Source organism: Homo sapiens, chromosome 4 (genome assembly GCF_000001405.40).
Source record: "Homo sapiens chromosome 4, GRCh38.p14 Primary Assembly".
In the NCBI taxonomy this organism is placed as follows: Eukaryota; Metazoa; Chordata; class Mammalia; order Primates; family Hominidae; genus Homo; species Homo sapiens.
Window position 1 is genome coordinate 132,938,977 of NC_000004.12, and position 21,198 is coordinate 132,960,174.

General features: G+C 39.5%; 3 annotated features.

Annotated features, from left to right (window-relative positions):
* Positions 5,114-5,615: an enhancer, noted in NCBI's record as "H3K27ac hESC enhancer chr4:133865245-133865746 (GRCh37/hg19 assembly coordinates)". NCBI's record gives its function as "activates a minimal SCP1, AML or CMV promoter by ChIP-STARR-seq in naive H9 embryonic stem cells {active_cell/tissue: H9 hESC(naive)}" and the evidence as "EXISTENCE:reporter gene assay evidence [ECO:0000049][PMID:30033119]".
* Positions 5,616-6,115: an enhancer, noted in NCBI's record as "H3K27ac hESC enhancer chr4:133865747-133866246 (GRCh37/hg19 assembly coordinates)". NCBI's record gives its function as "activates a minimal SCP1, AML or CMV promoter by ChIP-STARR-seq in primed H9 embryonic stem cells {active_cell/tissue: H9 hESC(primed)}" and the evidence as "EXISTENCE:reporter gene assay evidence [ECO:0000049][PMID:30033119]".
* Positions 19,676-20,176: an enhancer, noted in NCBI's record as "H3K4me1 hESC enhancer chr4:133879807-133880307 (GRCh37/hg19 assembly coordinates)". NCBI's record gives its function as "activates a minimal SCP1, AML or CMV promoter by ChIP-STARR-seq in naive H9 embryonic stem cells {active_cell/tissue: H9 hESC(naive)}" and the evidence as "EXISTENCE:reporter gene assay evidence [ECO:0000049][PMID:30033119]".

Genomic DNA, 21,198 nt, shown 5'->3' on the forward strand with positions numbered 1-21,198 from the left:
GTGCCTCATTTCCTGGGACCCAAATTGTCACTGAGTCCTATTGGCTTTCGTTCATAATTTGCAGCAATATTCTGCTCACCAGGTCCAAACCTTCAGAAGACATCTTTCCTGGAGTCAAGCCAAGACTGCCCTGTCCTCTACAGTCAGAATTACAACCACAACCTGGCCCTCTGTGCCTGAGCTGCTAGGGGATGTTTCTGAGTCACAGATCCTGGCTGTTTGGGCAATCTACAGTAAACCCTGCACAGAGAGTGAAACTTCACCCAAGACTCAGGTACCAAAATGGGTTCATAAGATCCTAAGCCTAAGACTCTAGCTCCACAATCACTATGAGCACATGCACCTGGAACCCATTACCACTACAGCTACTTATAGGCCACGTTGGACCTAACACAGAAGGGATCCTCTTTGCTGAGTCTCCTCATTTTGGAGAAAACAAAAATAAGAGTACCCCCAAATCCCTTGCTTCCAAGAACTTTAACTACCTATATTCTCATTGCCACTACCACACATTTCTATAGCCTAAGTCACTGAGATAGCCACAGTTATTGCTGACTTGATCACAGCTGAAGAAGCTGCATGGAGACTATATCACTGTATCTACTCATTACCAGAGTCACCATACCCATCTCAACCAGAACAACCCAACTTCAGGTGAAAGTCTTTCTCTATGAAAGCCACTTGTAATGTTTAAAATAATCAATTGCTGAACAAGATATACAGACAAAATGCAGGGACAAAAGAAACATGATAAAGTAAGGATATGTGAGATTGTCAAAGGAACACAATAACTCTTCAATAACTCTAGGCTTTTAGAAGCAGCTGGGCTACCCTCCAAAGAAAAAGAAGTCTAGAATTCCCAGAAAAGACATTCAAAATAATGACCTTAAGGAAGCTCAGTGAGATACAGCAGACTACAGATAGACAATTCAAAGGAATCGGGAAAACAGTTTGAAATATAAAAAAGAAATTTTATAAAGAGATAGATATCATAAAACAGAACCAAATTAGAAATTCTACAGCTGAAGAAATCAATGAATGAAATAAAACATACATCAGGCACCTTAATACCAGACTAGATCAAGCAGAGGTAATAATCTCTGAACTTGAAGACAGGTCATTTGAAATTACCCAGTCATAGAAAAAATAAAAATATAAATATAAAAAGTGAAGGAAGCATATAGGACTTATGGGACATCTTTTTAAAAATGCATATATTTGCATTATGGCATTAACAGGAGAAGAAGAGATGGGAAAAGGCATCAGAAATCTATTTAATGAAATGATGGCTAAAAAATTCCCATCTTGGGAAAATTGTGGACACCAGATTCAGAAATCTCAAAAGCTTCAAATATATTCAATCCAAAAAAATTTTCTCTAGGGCACAAGAGAGTGAAAATTTCAAAAATCAAACACAAAGAAGAAATTCTAAAAACACCAAGAGAAAAGCATCAAGTTACATATGAAGGAAGCCCCACTGGACTAATAGCAGATTTCTCAGCAGGAACTCTTACAGGCAAGAGATAATGGGATCACACATTCAAAGTGCCAAAAGAAAAAATATTATCAACCAAGAATACTATATCTAGCAAAACTATCCTTCTGAAATGAAAGAGAAAATAAAGTTTTTCCCACACAAACAAAAGTTGATGGAATTTATAACCATTAGACAAGTCTTAAGAGAAAGTTGCTAGACAGTCCTAAATACGGAAGCAAAAGGACTATAATGATCATCATGAAAACATGCAAAAATAGAAAACTCACTGGTGGAGTAGATACACAGAGGACAAAGAGAGAGGAATAAAAACTTATCACCACAGAAAACCAATCCATATTGATAAATAATAAGAGAGAAAGAAAGTAACAAAGGATATATACCCACAACAACCAGAAAACAATTAATGAAATGACAGGAGTAAGTCCTCATGTATTATTAGCAATAACCTTGAATAATAATGGATTAAATTCTCCAACTGAAAACCATAGACTGGCTGAATGGATAAGCAAATAGGACCTAACTATATGCTACCTACAAGAAATAAACTTTGTCTGTAAAGACACAAACAGAGTGAATGTGATAGAATATAAAAAGGTATCCCACACAAACATAAATAAGAAGCAAGCAGGAGTAGCTGTACTAACATAAATTAAACCAGACTTTAGATCAAAACTGAAGAAGAGACAAAAAGGTTACTCACTATATACTGATAAAAGAATCAATTCATCAGGAAGATATAACAATTATAAATACAAATACACCCAACACCAGAACACCCACATATATAAAGCAAATATTATTTCATATAATTGGAGAGATAAACTCCAATACGATAATAGTGATTTTAACACCCCACTCTCAGCAATGGCTAAATTATCTAGAAAGAAAATAAAAATAAAAATAAATCAAGGCCAGGCACAGTGGCTCATGCCTGTAATTCTAGCACTTTGGGAGGCCAAGTGGATCACTTCAGGTCAGGAGTTCAAGACCAGCTTGGCCAACGTGGTGAAACCCCATCTCTACATCTCTACTAAAAATACAAAAATTAACCAGGTGTGGTGGCACGTGCCTATAATCCCAGCTACTATGGAGGCTGAGGCAGGAGATTTGCTTGAATCTGGGAGACAGAGATTGCGGCAAGCAAAGATCATACCATGGCACTCCAGCCTGAGCTACAGAGCAAGACTCCATCTCAAAAAAAAAATAAAAATAAAAATAAATAAATAAATAAATAAAAATTAAAAAAAATCACTGGATTTAAACTGTACTTTCAACCTAATAGATCTAACAGACATTTACAGAACATTTTATCCAGCAACAGAACACAACACATTCTTCACATTGAGGCATGGAACCTTCTTCAGGACATACCATATGCTAGGCCACAAAAAAAAGCTTCAAGAAATTTTTAGAAATCAAAATATTATCAAGTATCTTTTTCTCACCACAGTGAAATAAAACTAGAAATTAATAATAAAAAGGAACATTCAAAAATGTGCAAGTGCATGAAAATTAAATGTGTCCCTGAATAATAAATGACAAATAAAGAATTAAGAATTATTTCTTACTCTAAACATATTAGCCCACTCTCACATTGCTGTAAAGAACTGCAACTGGGTAATTTATGGAGAAAAGAGGTTTAATTGACCCACATTTCTTCAGGCTGTACAGGAAGCATGATTGGGGAGGCCTCAGGAAACTTACAATCAAAGCAGAAGGGCAAAGAGGAAGCAATCACCTTATTCACATGGCAGAGCAGAAGAGAGAGAAAGGGGGGGAGGTTCTACAAACTTTCAAATGACCAAATGTAACTCTATCATGAGATGGCACTAGAGGGATGGTGTAAAACCATTAGAAACCACCCCCCATGATTCAATCACATCCCACCAGGCTCCAACTCCAACACTCAGAATCACAATTCAACATGAGATCTGGGTGGAGACACAGTGCCAAACCATATTATTCCACCCCTGGCCCCTCCTGTTCTCACATTTCAAAACACAATCATGCCTTCCCAACAGTCCCTGAAAGTCTTAACTCATTCCAGTATTAACTCAAAAGTCTAAGTTTAAAGTCTCACCTGAGACAAAGCAAGTCCCTTCTGCCTATGAGTGTGTAAAATCAAAAACAAGTTAAATACTACCAAGATACAATGGGGATACAGGCATTAGGTAAATGTTCCCATTCCAAAAGGGAGAAATTGGCCAAAAGAAAGGAGCTACAGGCCTCATGCAAGTTCAAAACCCAGCAGGGCAGTTATTAAATCTCAAAGCTCCAAAATAACTTCTTTTGACTCCATGTCTTGCATCTAGGCCACACTGAGGCAAGGGATGAGCCTCCACAGCCTTGGGCAGGGTGGCCCTGAGGCTCTTCAGGGTACAGCCTCTGTGACTGCTTTTAAAGGCTGACATTGAGTGCTATGAATTTTCCAGGACCATGGTGCAAGCTGTCAGTGGATCTACAATTCTGGGGTCTAGAGGAGGGTGGCTCTCTCCTTACTGCTCCATTAGGTTAGTGCCCCAGTGGGGATTTTGCATGGGGGCTCCAAGTCCACATTTCCCCTCTGCACTGCCCTGGTGAAGGTTCTCCATGAGGGCTCCACCCCTGCAGCAGACTTCTGCCTAGGCACCCAGCCATTTCTATACCTTATCTGAAATCTAGGAGGAGGCTCTCAAACCTCAACTCTTGCCTTCTGTGCACCCACAGGCCCAACACCACATGGAAGCCAGCAAGGCTTGGGGCTTGCATCCTCTGAAACAATGGCCCAAGCTGTACCTTGAACCCTTTTAGCCACAGCTGGAGCCGGAGCAGCTGGGACACAGAGCACCATGTCTCAAGGCTGCTCAGAGCAGTGAGGCCCTGTGCTTAGCCCAGGAAACCATTTTTCCCTCCTAGACCTCCAGGCTGATGATGGGAGGGGCTGCTGTGAAGACCTCTGACGTACCCTGGAGACATTTTTCCTATTGTGTAGGCTATTAACATTCATCTCTTCTTTACTTATGCAAATTTCTGCAGCCTTGAATTCCTCTCCAGAAAATGGGTTTTTCTTTTCTGCGTAGTTGGGCAGCAAATTTTCCAAACGTTTATGCTCTACTTCTCTTTTAAATATAAGTTCTCGTTTCAGCTCAATTATTTGGTTATGCAAATGATTGTAGGCTTTTAGAAGCAGCTGGGCTACCTCTTGAACTCTTTTGCTGCTCAGAAATCTCTTCTACCAGGTACCCTAAATCATCTCTCTCAAGTTCAAAGTTCTACACATCTCTAGAGCAGTGGCACAATGGCACCAGTCTCTTTGCTAAAGCCTAGCAAGAGTGACCTTTACTCCCTTTACTGCAGTTCCCAATAAGTTCCTCATCTCCACCTGACCACCTCAGCTTGGACTTCACTGTGTATGTCACTATCAGCATTTCAATCACAACCATTCAATAAGTCTCTAGGAAGGCGGGTTTTTTTTCTTTTTCTTTCTTATTTATTTATTTATTTTTTTGAGACAGAGTCTCACTCTGTCACCCAGGCTGGAGTGCAGTGGCACAATCTTGGCTCACAGCGATTCTCATACCTCAGCCTCCCAAGTAGCGAGGATTAAGGCATGCGTCACCAGGCCCAGCTAATTTCCATGTTTTTAGTAGAGACGGGGTTTTGCCATGTTGACCAGGCTGGTCTTGAACTACTGACCTCAAGGGATCCATCCCCCTTGGCCTCCCAAAGTACTGGGATTACAGGCATGAGCCACCACACTCAGCCTCTAGGAAGTTTCAAACTTTCCCTCATCTTTCTGTCTGCCTCTCATCCCTCCAAACTGTCCCAACCTCTGCCCATTATTCAGATCCAAAATCACTTTCACAGTTCAGGTATCTTTATAGAAATGCCACTCTACTCTGGTACCAATTTTCTGTATTAGTCCATTCTCATACTGCTATAAAGACATACCAGAGGAGGAGGAGCCAAGATGGCCGAATAGGAACAGCTCCGGTCTACAGCTCCCAGCGTGAGCGACGCAGAAGACGGGTGATTTCTGCATTTCCATCTGAGGTACCGGGTTCATCTCACTAGGGAGTGCCAGACAGTGGGCGCAGGCCAGTGGGTGCGCGCACCGGGCGCGAGCCGAAGCAGGGCGAGGCATTGCCTCACCTGGGAAGCGCAAGGGGTCAGGGAGTTCCCTTTCCAAGTCAAAGAAAGGGGTGACGGACGCACCTGGAAAATCGGGTCACTCCCACCTGAATATTGCGCTTTTCAGACCGGCTTAAAAAACGGCGCACCACGAGATTATATCCCTCACCTGGCTTGGAGGGTCCTACCCCACAGAATCTCGCTGATTGCTAGCACAGCAGTCTGAGATCAAACTGCAAGGCGGCAGCGAGGCTGGGGGAGGGGCGCCCGCCATTGCCCAGGCTTGCTTAGGTAAACAAAGCAGCCGGGAAGCTCCAACTGGGTGGAGCCCACCACAGCTCAAGGAGGCCTGCCTGCCTCTGTAGGCTCCACCTCTGGGGGCAGGGCACAGACAAACAAAAAGACAGCAGAAACCTCTGCAGACTTAAATGTCCCTGTCGGACAGCTTTGAAGAGAGCAGTGGTTCTCCCAGCACACAGCTGGAGATCTGAGAACGGGCAGACTGCCTCCTCAAGTGGGTCCCTGACCCCTGACCCCCGAGCAGCCTAACTGGGAGGCACCCCCCAGCAGGGGCACACTGACACCTCACACGGCAGGGTATTCCAACAGACCTGCAGCTGAGGGTCCTGTCTGTTAGAAGGAAAACTAACAAACAGAAAGGACATCCACACCAAAAACCCATCTGTACATCACCATCATCAAGACCAAAAGTAGATAAAACCACAAAGATGGGGAAAAAACAGAACAGAAAAACTGGAAACTCTAAAACGCAGAGCGCCTCTCCTCCTCCAAAGGAACGCAGTTCCTCACCAGCAACGGAACAAAGCTGGATGGAGAATGACTTTGACGAGCTGAGAGAAGAAGGCTTCAGACGATCAAATTACTCTGAGCTACGGGAGGACATTCAAACCAAAGGCAAAGAAGTTGAAAACTTTGAAAAAAATTTAGAAGAATGTATAACTAGAATAACCAATACAGAGAAGTGCTTAAAGGAGCTGATGGAGCTGAAAACCAAGGCTCGAGAACTACGTGAAGAATGCAGAAGCCTCAGGAGCCAATGCGATCAACTGGAAGAAAGGGTATCAGCAATGGAAGATGAAATGAATGAAATGAAGTGAGAAGGGAAGGTTAGAGAAAAAGAATAAAAAGAAATGAGCAAAGCCTCCAAGAAATATGGGACTATGTGAAAAGACCAAATCTACGTCTGATTGGTGTACCTGAAAGTGATGCGGAGAATGGAACCAAGTTGGAAAACACTCTACAGGATATTATCCAGGAGAACTTCCCCAATCTAGCAAGGCAGGCCAACGTTCAGATTCAGGAAATACAGAGAACGCCACAAAGATACTCCTTGAGAAGAGCAACTCCAAGACACATAATTGTCAGATTCACCAAAGTTGAAATGAAGGAAAAAATGTTAAGGGCAGCCAGAGAGAAAGGTCGGGTTACCCTCAAAGGGAAGCCCATCACACTAACAGCGGATCTCTCAGCAGAAACCCTACAAGCCAGAAGAGAGTGGGGGCCAATATTCAACATTCTTAAAGAAAAGAATTTTCAACCCAGAATTTCATATCCAGCCAAACTAAGCTTCATAAGTGAAGGAGAAATAAAATACTTTACAGACAAGCAAATGCTGAGAAATTTTGTCACCACCAGGCCTGCCCTAAAAGAGCTCCTGAAGGAAGCGCTAAACATGGAAAGGAACAACCGGTACCAGCCGCTGCAAAATCATGCCAAAATGTAAAGACCATCGAGACTAGGAAGAAACTGCATCAACTAACGAGCAAAATCACCAGCTAACATCATAATGACAGGATCAAATTCACACATAACAATATTAACTTTAAATGTAAATGGACTAAATGCTCCAATTAAAAGACACAGACTGGCAAGTTGGATAAAGAGTCAAGACCCATCAGTGTGCTGTATTCAGGAAACCCATCTCACGTGCGGAGACACACATAGGCTCAAAATAAAAGGATGAAGGAAGATCTACCAAGCAAATGGAAAACAAAAAAAGGCAGGGGTTGCAATCCTAGTCTCTGATAAAACAGACTTCAAACCAACAAAGATCAAAAGAGACAAAGAAGGCCATTACATAATGGTAAAGGGATCAATTCAACAAGAGGAGCTAACTATCCTAAATATATATGCACCCAATACAGGAGCACCCAGATTCATAAAGCAAGTCCTGAGTGACCTCCAAAGAGACTTAGACTCCCACACATTAATAATGAGAGACTTTAACACCCCACTGTCAACATTAGACAGATCAACGAGACAGAAAGTCAACAAGGATACCCAGGAATTGAACTCAGCTCTGTACCAAGCGGACCTAATAGACATCTACAGAACTCTCCACCCCAAATCAACAGAATATACATTTTTTTCAGCACCACACCACACCTATTCCAAAATTGACCACATAGTTGGAAGTAAAGCTCTCCTCAGCAAATGTAAAAGAACAGAAATTATAACAAACTATCCCTCAGACCACAGTGCAATCAAACTAGAACTCAGGGTTAAGAATCTCACTCAAAGCCGCTCAACTACATGGAAACTGAACAACCTGCTCCTGAATGACTACTGGGTACATAAGGAAATGAAGGCAGAAATAAAGATGTTCTTTGAAACCAACGAGAACAAAGACACAACATACCAGAATCTCTGGGATGCATTCAAAGCAGTGTGTAGAGGGAAATTTATAGCACTAAATGCCCACAAGAGAAAGCAGGAAAGATCCAAAATTGACACCCTAACATCACAATTAAAAGAACTAGAAAAGCAAGAGCTAGTTCAAAAGCTAGCAGAAGGCAAGAAATAACTAAGATCAGAGCAGAACTGAAGGAAATAGAGACACAAAAAACCCTTCAAAAAATCAATGAATCCAGGAGCTGGTTTTTTGAAAGGATCAACAAAATTGATAGACCGCTAGCAAGACTAATAAAGAAAAAAAGAGAGAAGAATCAAATAGACACAATAAAAAATGATAAAGGGGATATCACCACTGATCCCACAGAAATACAAACTACCATCAGAGAATACTACAAACACCTCTACGCAAATAAACTAGAAAATCTAGAAGAAATGGATACGTTCCTCGACACATACACTCACCCAAGACTAAACCAGGAAGAAGTTGAATCTCTGAATAGACCAATAACAGGAGCTGAAATTGTGGCAATAATCAATAGTTTACCAACCAAAAAGAGTCCAGGACCAGATGGATTCACAGCCGAATTCTACCAGAGGTACAAGGAGGAACTGTTACCATTCCTTCTGAAACTATTCCAATCAATAGAAAAAGAGGGAACCCTCCCTAACTCATTTTATGAGGCCAGCATCATTCTGATACCAAAGCCGGGCAGAGACACAACCAAAAAAGAGAATTTTAGACCAATATCCTTGATGAACATTGATGCAAAAATCCTCAATAAAATACTGGCAAACCGAATCCAGCAGCACATCAAAAAGCTTATCCACCATGATCAAGTGGGCTTCATCCCTGGGATGCAAGGCTGGTTCAATATACACAAATCAATAAATGTAATCCAGCATATAAACAGAGCCAAAGACAAAAACCACATGATTATCTCAATAGATGCAGAAAAAGCCTTTGACAAAATTCAACAACCCTTCATGCTAAAAACTCTCAATAAATTAGGTATTGATGGGACGTATTTCAAAATAATAAGAGCTGTCTATGACAGACCCACAGCCAATATCATACTGAATGGGCAAAAACTGGAAGCATTCCCTTTGAAAAGTGGCACAAGACAGGGATGCCCTCTCTCACTGCTCCTATTCAACATAGTGTTGGAAGTTCTGGCCAGGGCAATCAGGCAGGAGAAGGAAATAAAGGGTATTCAATTAGGAAAAGAGGAAGTCAAATTGTCCCTGTTTGCAGACGACATGATTGTTTATCTAGAAAACCCCATCGTCTCAGCCCAAAATCTCCTTAAGCTGATAAGCAACTTCAGCAAAGTCTCAGGATACAAAATCAATGTACAAAAATCACAAGCATTCTTATACACCAACAACAGACAAACAGAGAGCCAAATCAGGAGTGAACTCCCATTCACAATTGCTTCAAAGAGAATAAAATACCTAGGAATCCAACTTACAAGGGATGTGAAGGACCTCTTCAAGGAGAACTACAAACCACTGCTCAAGGAAATAAAAGAGGATACAAACAAATGGAAGAACATTCCATGCTCATGGGTAGGAAGAATCAATATCGTGAAAATGGCCATACTGCCCAAGGTAATTTACAGATTCAATGCCATCCCCATCAAGCTACCAATGACTTTCTTCACAGAATTGGAAAAAACTACTTTAAAGTTCATATGGAACCAAAAAAGAGCCCGCATCACCAAGTCAATCCTAAGCCAAAAGAACAAAGCTGGAGGCATCACACTACCTGACTTCAAACTATACTACAAGGCTACAGTAACCAAAACAGCATGGTACTGGTACCAAAACAGAGATATAGATCAATGGAACAGAACAGAGCCCTCAGAAATAACGCCGCATACCTACAACTATCTGATCTTTGACGAACCTGAGAAAAACAAGCAATGGGGAAAGGATTCCCTATTTAATAAATGGTGCTGGGAAAACTGGCTAGCCATATGTAGAAAGCTGAAACTGGATCCCTTCCTTACACCTTATACAAAAATCAATTCAAGATGGATTAAAGATTTAAACGTTAGACCTAAAACCATAAAAACCCTAGAAGAAAACCTAGGCATTATCATTCAGGACATAGGCATGGGCAAGGACTTCATGTCCAAAACACCAAAAGCAATGGCAACAAAAGCCAAAATTGACAAATGGGATCTCATTAAACTAAAGAGCTTCTGCACAGCAAAAGAAACTACCATCAGAGTGAACAGGCAACCTACAACATGGGAGAAAATTTTCGCAACCTACTCATCTGACAAAGGGCTAATATCCAGAATCTACAATGAACTCCAACAAATTTACAAGAAAAAAACAAACAACCCCATCAAAAAGTGGGCGAAGGACATGAACAGACACTTCTCAAAAGAAGACATTTATGCAGCCAAAAAACACATGAAAAAATGCTCATCATCACTGGCCATCAGAGAAATGCAAATCAAAACCACTATGAGATATCATCTCACACCAGTTAGAATGGCAATCATTAAAAAGTCAGGAAACAACAGGTGCTGGAGAGGATGTGGAGAAATAGGAACACTTTTACACTGTTGGTGGGACTGTAAACTAGTTCAACCATTGTGGAAGTCAGTGTGGCCATTCCTCAGGGATCTAGAACTAGAAATACCATTTGACCCAGCCATCCCATTACTGGGTATATACCCAAATGACTATAAATCATGCTGCTATAAAGACACATGCACACGTATGTTTATTGCGGCATTATTCACAATAGCAAAGACTTGGAACCAACCCAAATGTCCAACAATGATAGACTGGATTAAGAAAATGTGGCACATATACACCATGGAATACTATGCAGCCATAAAAAAGGATGAGTTCATGTCCTTTGTAGGGAGATGGATGAAATTGGATATCATCATTCTCAGTAAACTATCGCAAGAACAATAAACCAAACACCGCATATTCTCGTTCATAGCTGGGAATCGAACAATGAGGTCACATGGACACATGAAGGGGAATATCACACTCTGGGGACTGTGGTGGGGTGGGGGGAGCGGGGAGGGATAGCATTGGGAGATATACCTAAGGCTAGATGACGAGTTAGTGGGTGCAGCGCACCAGCATGGCACATGTATACATATGTAACTAACCTGCACAATGTGCACATGTACCCTAAAACTTAAAGTATAATAAAAAAAAAGAAAAGCAAAAAAAAAAAAAGAAAGAAAAGCAAAAAAAAAAAAAGAAAGAAAGAAAAAAAAGACATACCAGAGACTGGGTACTTTATGGGAGAAAAGATGTTTAATTGCCTCACATTTCCACACGCTGTCCAAGAGGCATGGCTCGAGAGACCTCAGGAAATTTAAAGTCATGGCGGAAGGCAAAGGGGAAGCAGTTACAATCTTCATATAGTGGAGAAGGGGAGAGAGAGAGAGAGAGAGTGCAAGGGGGGAAGTGCTACACACTTTCAAACAACCAGATCTCATGAGAAATCTATCATGAGACAGCACTAGGGGGATGGTGCAAAACCATTAGAAATCACCCCCATGATCCAATCACCTCCCACCAGGCCCCACCTCCAACACTCAGGATCAAAATTCAACATGAGATTTGGGTGGGAGCACAGAACCAAACCATATAACCTACATCAAAAAATTAGAAAAATTTAAATCAACCTAATGATGTATTTCAAGGCACTAAGACAGAAAAAACAAACCAAACCCAAAATTAGTAAAAGGAACAAGTAATAAAGACCTGACCAGAGAGAAATATGTGAAACTGGGACCAAAAAAAAGAAAAAAAAAAAGACAAACATCAACAAGATAAAAACATTGGATTTTTGAAAAGATAAACCAAATCACCAAACAATTAGGAAAAATAACAAGAAAAAAATGAAAAGACCCAAATAAGTAAAATGAGAAATGAAAAAAAATACATTGCAAATGGCACCATGGAAATATTAAGACTCATTAAAAACAATTATGAACATCTATACCCCACACACAAACTGAAATTGGAACGCCTAGAGGAAATGAAAAAAATCCTGGACACATACGACCTACCAAGATTAAACCAAGAAGGAATGGAAAACCTGAACAGGGCAATTATAAGAAACAAGATGGAATCAGTAATATAAAGTGTCCCAACAAGAAAATAGCCCAGGAACTGATGGTTTCCCTGCTGAATTCTACCAAGCTTTTAAAGAACAATTAATACCAATTATTTGAAAATTGAAAAGGAGAAGGTACTCCCACACTCATTGTAAGAGGTCAGCATCACCCTTATCGTAAGGTATTAGACAAGGACACAACAAAATAGAAAACTATAGGCAAATATTCCTGATAAACATAAATGTAGAAATTCTCAAGAAAATACCAGCAAACCAAATTCAGTGATGCAAGGATGGGTCAACATACACAAATTAATAACTGTGAAACATCAAACCAACAGAAAGAAGGACCAAAAAATACAATTCTCTCAGTAAAGTGATGAAATTTTGTAAATATGAGTTTCAGATAATGATGATTTTTGTGCTTCAGCATCCTAAGTTTAGTGAATCAGAGGGCTTAATCACCAGATTTGAAATTTCTTTATAGCATCTTTGACTAGAAACAATATGGCCAAATTTGCTTATTTGTAATAAATTTGGTATTTAGTCTTTTAAAATAATTATTCCCACTTGAAAATGATACACTTTTGTTGGAAATTTGTTTTGGTATATGTAGGAGTATTGTTGTCTATTGTAAATTAATCTACTCATCAATCAAACTATTGAGTGCTGCTACATAAATGGATAAGTGATAAGGGTATATCTCCTAGATGCAGTTATTTGAGTAAAAGACAAAAAAAAAACAATGATTATAAGACCTTTTGTCTTAATGATACTTTGTGGAATAATTAGAATCGCACTATATCTCCTAGATTTAGTTGGATTTTTAAAATTTGTGTCAACACATGTTCATTTGGATGCCAACTAGTGATTGAGAGAGATGGGCAGTAGGAGAGCCTAATCAGTTTATTTCCATTCTTAATTTCCAGGCTTGTTTGATAGCCTTCTTTATATTCTTAATATCTTTAAAGCAAACCATAAAAAGTGCTGTTTAATATTTTAATAAAATGTTCCTCTGGTGGGACAAAATGCTACTGCTCTAACCAAAATCCGGTAATTCATCAAGATTTTAGTCATTTTAAGGGTGTGTTATTGATTACTCATGTATAAATGAATTTGCAATAAATTTTCCAATAAGTTTAGTATTAAGGTCATTTTGAGTTGTTATTACATATTACCTTGGCCTCTTCATTACACATGGTCTAGCAGTAACAAGTTTAAATATGACACTACATTTGATATATCTAAAGCTGTTTTGAAACACATAACTTCAAAAGGGTAAATTTTTTGCTATTAAATTTTTTATTTTCCATTGTATACAATCATACATGGGAAGAGCTTAAACATGCTTAATTTTCAAAATAGACAACAATTTGGTAATGTAATGATAAATTATGCCTGATAAAATAAAATAAGCTATGTCAAACTCTCCTTTCCTTATAGGTGATATGTGTGTTTCAAAATAACTATATGTTAAATCTTATTAAATTTTATGAAATACATTGATATTAGTGTCACTTCAAAAATGAGCTTCTATGAGGTGATACTGCTGGGAAGTACTGTCATGGCATCAACCAAGTGCAGTTGGCAATTATTTGCATTCTGACTGAAAGCACCTTTTATCCCAGTACTAATGGGACTAATGAAACATAAGAAACTTCGTTTCTTTAGCTGAGGACTATACTATAATAGAATGAGAGGGGAAAATAAATCTCATTACACTCATGGACATGTTATGACACGAAAGAATTGCATTTCTTAAAACAAAATCACTTCAGTTTTATCTATTATCTATAAAACCAGATTCTATTGCTTTTTAGTATTTGTCATATAATTAACTTATAGAGTTGGCCTTAAAACTACAGGAATATAACAGCTGTAGCTCTAAAAATACAGCTTTTAAATAATTTGTAATTGAGGACTTATATTGATACTATTTTTTAATGTTACTTTTTGCACACCAGAAAATAATGAGTAACACCACAGGATTCAGAATCTTAATTTCATTCAAAAATATAAAATCTTTATTAGGGTTAATTAAAAATAAATAAATAATAATATATTTTCTTCAGCATAAGACACAGAAACCTTAAATAAAAGTTTCTTGGCAAATATTATTTTCTCCCGTGTTTTCCGAATTAAGCATCACAGCTAAAGCTCATTCATTCAGTGAATAAACATTTATTGATCAATTGAAAGTGACTGGTGCTGGCAATAGAGCAATAAAAAAAATAATGACTCTTCCTACTAATTATTGCATCCAGTGTCAAACACTCATATTAAATAAATCATAGCTAAAATAATAATACACTCACAAACAGAAATAATACTAAGATATAATCAGGTAAAAGTATAAAACAGAGAAGCATGCATAGGTTTATCTTGAAAAATTTCTTCTATTCTGAAATATAAATAATATATAAGTGTTACCTAAGTGGATGCAGTGACGGGCAAAACAAAGAGCAAGAATAGCACATTCAAAAATCCTTTGAAGAGGCCAGTTGGAATGGAATATCAAATGAAATACCAATCAGAAACCTGGGAGATAGAACTGGAGAGAAAGGCAAGGAGATGAAATCATGCAACGGTGTATTGACCAAGTTAAAGACAGCATATGTTATGCAAAGAGCAATGGGAAACTACTAGAAGTTGGTTTTTGTTTTTATTAATAGTGGATGTTTGACATGGAAAATGTAAATTTTGAAAATGCTGTTTTAGTTAGAGTATAGAGAAATATACAAAGCTGGTTAAGAGGGGACCCATAATTTTTCTATCTTTTATGGGTTTTTCTAGCTATCATCAGCATTCCTGTTCTCCTAGAACATTTTCCATCAGGCTTCCACCACTTGAAATGTAGCATTGATAAAATATTTATCTTTGTATGTTTTGTTTTGCCATGGTAGACATAAGGAGAACACATGGGAATCATTTATCTCACTGCCAGATGTAAGAGTGGAAAGATATATCTTGGTACATTTTCTGGAGTTTATGGGTTCATGTTATTAATCTCAAGTTGCTTACAGATCCCAAGCCTATAGAAAGTGTATAAGGTTGCCAGATGCCTACGTCTAAAATTAAATCAGAGTTGAGAGTTAGGACCATATTTGTAGGGTTTACAATCCAATGTATTCATCTGTTACAATATGGCTTATTATGAGAGATGGATTATTATGTTGAGAAATTGCAAACACTAAATCTTTTTCAATGCTGGTCAAAACATATTTATTGAGCTGGGCTTGTGTCGACTGCATTACCTATTCCCTTCCCCTGGTACTGAAATTTTCAGTCTTCACCCATTTTACATTCCTCCAGTGATACTGACACCAAAACTACTAAGAAGAAGGTACTGTGCTGGCAAACCACTGCTTAATTGCAATTTCTAAATATAATCACGGCAAATGCTTTTTATTTTCCTCTAAAAAAAGGAAATTCTGTCCACACATTCTATTTGATAACTGAATTGTGTGTGTGTGCATGTACATATGTTTTCTCTAACTATATATTTGTTAGAAAATTAATATTCATTCATGTAAACATGAATACATATAATTATAAACATAACTGAAACCACAGAAAGACTCAGCAGAAAAATGTGATTATATTAGCATTTAAAAGAGCAATACTAATAATTTTGTTTAAAATTCAGTTACATAGTTTGGCATAGAGCAATTAATGAAGCGGGAAGAATACTAGGAGCAAGTGTTAAAGAACATAAAGAAAGAAACTTTCATGTCAATATATTATTTATTTAATTGTATACCAAATCATAAAAATAAAAAAGAGAGAGAGAGAGTGACAGAGAGAGAGAAGCAAACAGAGGGCATTTTATTTAATGTTTCTGTTTTAGAAAGTAGCCATTAGATCTGTTCATAAGAGTAGAGATTTGGATCCTTCAGATAACTCAAGGAGAGAATGAAATCATTTCAACTGCTCTCTAGGAGGGTGGAGCATTCATTGTGTTTCAAAAGACAAAACTCTCTTCTGAGTAGGATAAAGAGTTCTTTTGTTGTTAAGAACTAGAGCTCATTTTTTCATTTAGAATCACTTTATTGTGGAAGGCTACATCTTAGGTTTTGGATATGAGACTGGCTAAACTGAACAAAGGCCCTGTTTTTATAAAACTTAGGGAATACTAATCACAGAAATAGGAATAAAATTGCAATTGTGGTAAGTTCCACAAAAGGTTATTTACATAACAAATAATATAAGAAATTTTCTTTGATAAAGAAGTTATAGAAAGTGTTGACAAGGAAGCTGAGATATGAAAGATGAGAGAAGTCAGATCATTCAATATAACAAATGTCCTTGGACAGCAGGATGGTAAGCACATAGAGCAAGAGAAGGCCTGAGCCCTTAAACAATGTGTGTGTTAAATGTGATTAGGCTAAGAGTATGTTAGGGAGGAAGAAGAAATTTCATTTAAACTTTATGGTAGATTACCATCTATCTTACCATCTCTTTTGAATGGTTAACCAGGCTCCAATTTATAGATTAAAACAATTAAATGAGAGCTCTTGAGTGAGGACATAAAGAGGAAGGGATTTTTACCAGGGAAGAAAAAAGAGATGGGACATATGGAAAAGATCCTATGACTAACATATAAATACTGGGTCCCATATTTAGGAGTTCTTGCCTACAGAGTGTTAGAGACAGTAGCTTGGAAGAAATAGTCCTTGTGGTACAAGACTTTAAATGACTGACTTGTAACTCATGAACAGACCCAGCACAGCAGCCCCTACACAACTTACAATGGCAGTTTCTTGGTGGGGTTAAAAAATATATATATAATAATACCGCTTTGCTCTTCATGTCTTAGCATTCCACATAACTTTATAACCTTATGAGGGATCTTTCTCCTCTACACTCAAGTTACTAATAATTATTAGCATAGGGTAGGAAGAGGCTCTTATATCAGGAATTTGAAGCTAAAATGAAGCATTAAAAGACCCAAATTAGAGACAGCGGGAAGTGATAATTCTGTTAAGATAATATTAGCTACTGCTTATTTAATGTGTATTCTGAATCACACACTGTGATAAACCTTTCATAAATTTCTTCATTTTATTTTCTCAATAGCCCTATTTAGATATCACTACTATATTTAGGCTCTTAGAGGTTATAAAAATTGATCAAGATCATTAAGTATTCTGTGCTTAATTATAAAATCCATGCATTTCCTTATATCTGTCAACTGTGTTGAATGATGATGGTAGACTGAGCCGCATGAGGTCTGAAAAGATGTTACGGAATTTGAAAATTGGGGACCCTGGTAAGGTTAATATTCATAGAGTGAATATTAGTCGCTTGCAGAGGAAAGAGAAGTGAAAAAAAGAAGCTAAAAAATGGGAAGTAAGAGCTTGGTGTATTCATAAGCAAGGAAAATTATACGACTGAGGCCAAGAAAAAGGAGACTGTTTTATTTTTCCCCAGAAGATGTACTGACTTTTAAAAGACAAAAAAAAAAAAAAGACAAGGTAGAAATTGAAGAATTCAGAGATTGAAAATGTAACTAATGTCAGAACTTTTCAGAGGTGGCAGGCAGGGATGTAACTCATAGTGTGCAGATGGAGTGATTTGCCTAGGAAAGGAGTAAGGGTAGCCCTTTCTTTGATGCAGAATAGAATACAGTAAAACCAGCAGAAAACAAACAAACTTTTTTGGTGTTTAACTGTGAAGTTTTTCTTTTCCTGCAGAACAACATAAACATTTCTCATTCTGGAATTCAAGCTGTCCATTAATTGGTATCAAATCACCCTTCCCTCTTGTCATGTCACAAACCAATCTTTTATTCAGGCTAAATCACTAAATTCATTGTCATTGTCATCTGAATACAGCTCCTGTTTTCGCATGTCAATGTCGCATTTAAATAGTTCTCCCAGCACAGATGTCTCTCCCTTCCATCACAGCCACTAACATCTCTTATGTCCAGTCTCAATCTACCTCCTCTGTAAAGCCTTCTTCAAAGCCACAGTTTAAAATTATCAATCATTGCTTCTTAGAAGGAATTGCATGTACAGAGTGTTAATCATTTATAATTATACATTCTGATACTATTTATTGCACTTTATGAGTATGCATATATCCACATATATAGTTATGGACTGAATTGTGTCTCCTCGACATTCATATATTGAAGTCTTAATTGCCAGTACCTCACAGTGTGACTGTGGTGAAGATGGAGACTATAAAGATGAAATTAAATTAAATTTGAGATCATATGGATAGGCTTAAACCAATGTGACTGGTGTCTTTATAAGAAGAGGAGACTAGAGACAAATACACATACAGAAGGATGATCATGTCAAGATACAGAGGGAAGGTGGCCATTTACAAGCCAAGAGGAGAGGCCTCAGAGGAAACCAACACTACTAACATGTTGATCTCAGACATCTAGCTTCCAGAAATGTGAGACAATACATTGTTATAGCTTAAGCCACCCAGTCTGTGGTATTTGCTATGATAGCCCTAGAAAAAATATATAAATATATAAATATACATATATATAACATATATACAAATATTAATATAAATGGACATATACTCATACATATTATACATAAATATGTATAATATACCATACAGTATATGTAAAATATATACCTATATATACCAGTGAATATAATATTTATTTTACATATATCATCAACAAATACGTGATAGTTTCCTTAATATAAACACATATCACCCTTAATGTTTCACACAGTGTCTTATATGCAAAGTTGGCATATTGTACTATTTAAACTTTCACTCTATGGAGCAAAACAGATATGAGTTTTAGAAGCTTTTTACATAACTCCTCTATAAACTTTCATACCACAGTTAACTCTTCTTAGCCTTAGTTTCTTCATCTGTGTCATGAGGATAAGGAGGGTTTGTTTCTCTTAAGTATATTATAATAATTAAATGAGGATATTAATGTAGAATGCTTAACATTGATGGCAGCAGCAGGCCATGTGAAGCCACTGCTGCCATCGTACTAGCTGCAGCAGGGAGGCATAAGTGGAGGCAGCAGGAGTGGCTGCAGAAGCAGCAGTGGTGGCAGTGGGTCTCCTGTGCCCCATGTTTCTGAGGAAGCCTACTGCACCACCCCTACCCTTGCATGGTTGGGAAGGATCTGCTCCCAGGCCCAGAGCCTCTGCCATGGCCTCAACCTTGCTTCCTGCTGCATCCTGGGGGCCTGCGTGCACTTGGCCGAAGATGCAGGCAGGACTTGCAGGACTGGTCCCAGGAGTGTCAGGTTTGTTTGTGAGGGGTTGGACAGGGCCGCCATGCAACCTGCACCTGTCCCACCACACAGAGAGCCACGGCAATGGGGCCAGGCCTAGTTGCCCACAGGCAGGGGATTAGTGCAGTCAGGCATGAAGAGGTGGGCAGAGAGGGGCCCTGGGGAAGAGCTGGGCCCAGGGCAGTGTTGCACTCCACAAAGCCGGCAGGAGCTGGGAGGAGGCAGGACCCCTGCCCTCCTTGGTGGGGCTGCAGCTGTCCAAGTTGCAGCTGTGGACCTAGGCATCTCTGCACTCTCAGGGGCCCAGGAACTCCCGGTCTTGCCCTCGCAGGCTTGGAGGTATCTGCTCCCACTGTCTGGCCTCTGGCTGCTGTAGCCACCTGCTCTGATCATGGAGTAAAGTTGAGGCCAAGCCCACAGGTCCTGTCGCAACCCAGCTGAGTGTGCACATGCTCAAAGCAGGGCTGACACACCAGCCCCCTGCCACCTTGGCCCCCTCTGGATTTTGGGCACCAACAATCATGGAGGGTGGCCAGGGGGTGCTGAGGGCAGCTCAGCACTGGCCTGCAAACACCCCTTGGTACAAACAGCCTAGGCACTATGAAAGCAGGCAGGAGGCAGACAGGCTTCTGGAAGGGGAGGGGGGGGTCCCAGGTGAAGCCCTTCCTTCAAGCTGAGAAGGGCCTGAAGCCTAGGGGCCCAGCTGCCTGTCCTGCAGAACACAGTGGGAACTTGTGGTGCCTTTTCCGGGCAGGCCCATTGTTGAGAACAGGTCCCCCAAAATCTGGCTGTAAACTGGCCCCAAAACTGGACATAAACAAAATCTATGCAGCACTGTGACATGTTCGTGATGGTCATGAAGCTGACGCTGGAAGGTTGTGGATTTACCAGAATGAGGGCAAGGAACACCTGACCCGCCCAGGGTCGAAAACCACTTAAAGGCATTCTTAAACCACAAACAATAGCATGAGCAATCTGTGCCTTAAGGACATGCTCCTGCTGCAGATAACTAGCAAAACCCATCCCTTTATTTTGGCCCATCCCTTTGTTTCCCATAAGGAATACTTTTAGTTAATCTATAATCTATGAAAACAATGCTTATTGCTGGCTTGCTGTCAATAAATACGTGGATAAATCTTGAGGCTCTCAGCTCTGAAGGCTGTGAGCCCCCTGATTTCCCACTCCACACCTCTCTATTTCTGTGTGTGTGTCTTTAATTCCTCTAGTGCCACTGGATTAGGGTCTCCCAGACCAAGCCGGTCCCGGCAGCCCATAGCCTATCAATAGGCTGGCACGCATTTCCTCCCCTCTGAGGCCTATAAAAGCCCCAGACTCAGCCAGACTCCAGGAGATAATGAGATGGCCAGCTGCAGGGAGGAACTACTCTCCCTTCTGAGAGCTGGATACTCATTGGGATGACCAGCCTGACAGAGAAGAGCTACCCTCTCTTCTGAGAGCTGAAGAACTGATGAGACAACCAGCTGAAGAGAAGAACTACCCTCTCTGCTGAGAGCTGAACACTTATTGGGACACCCTACCTATGGAGAGGAGCTGCCCACTCTGGGTCTCCTCTGAGCTGTTCTATCCTCAATAAAGCTCCTCTTTGTCTTG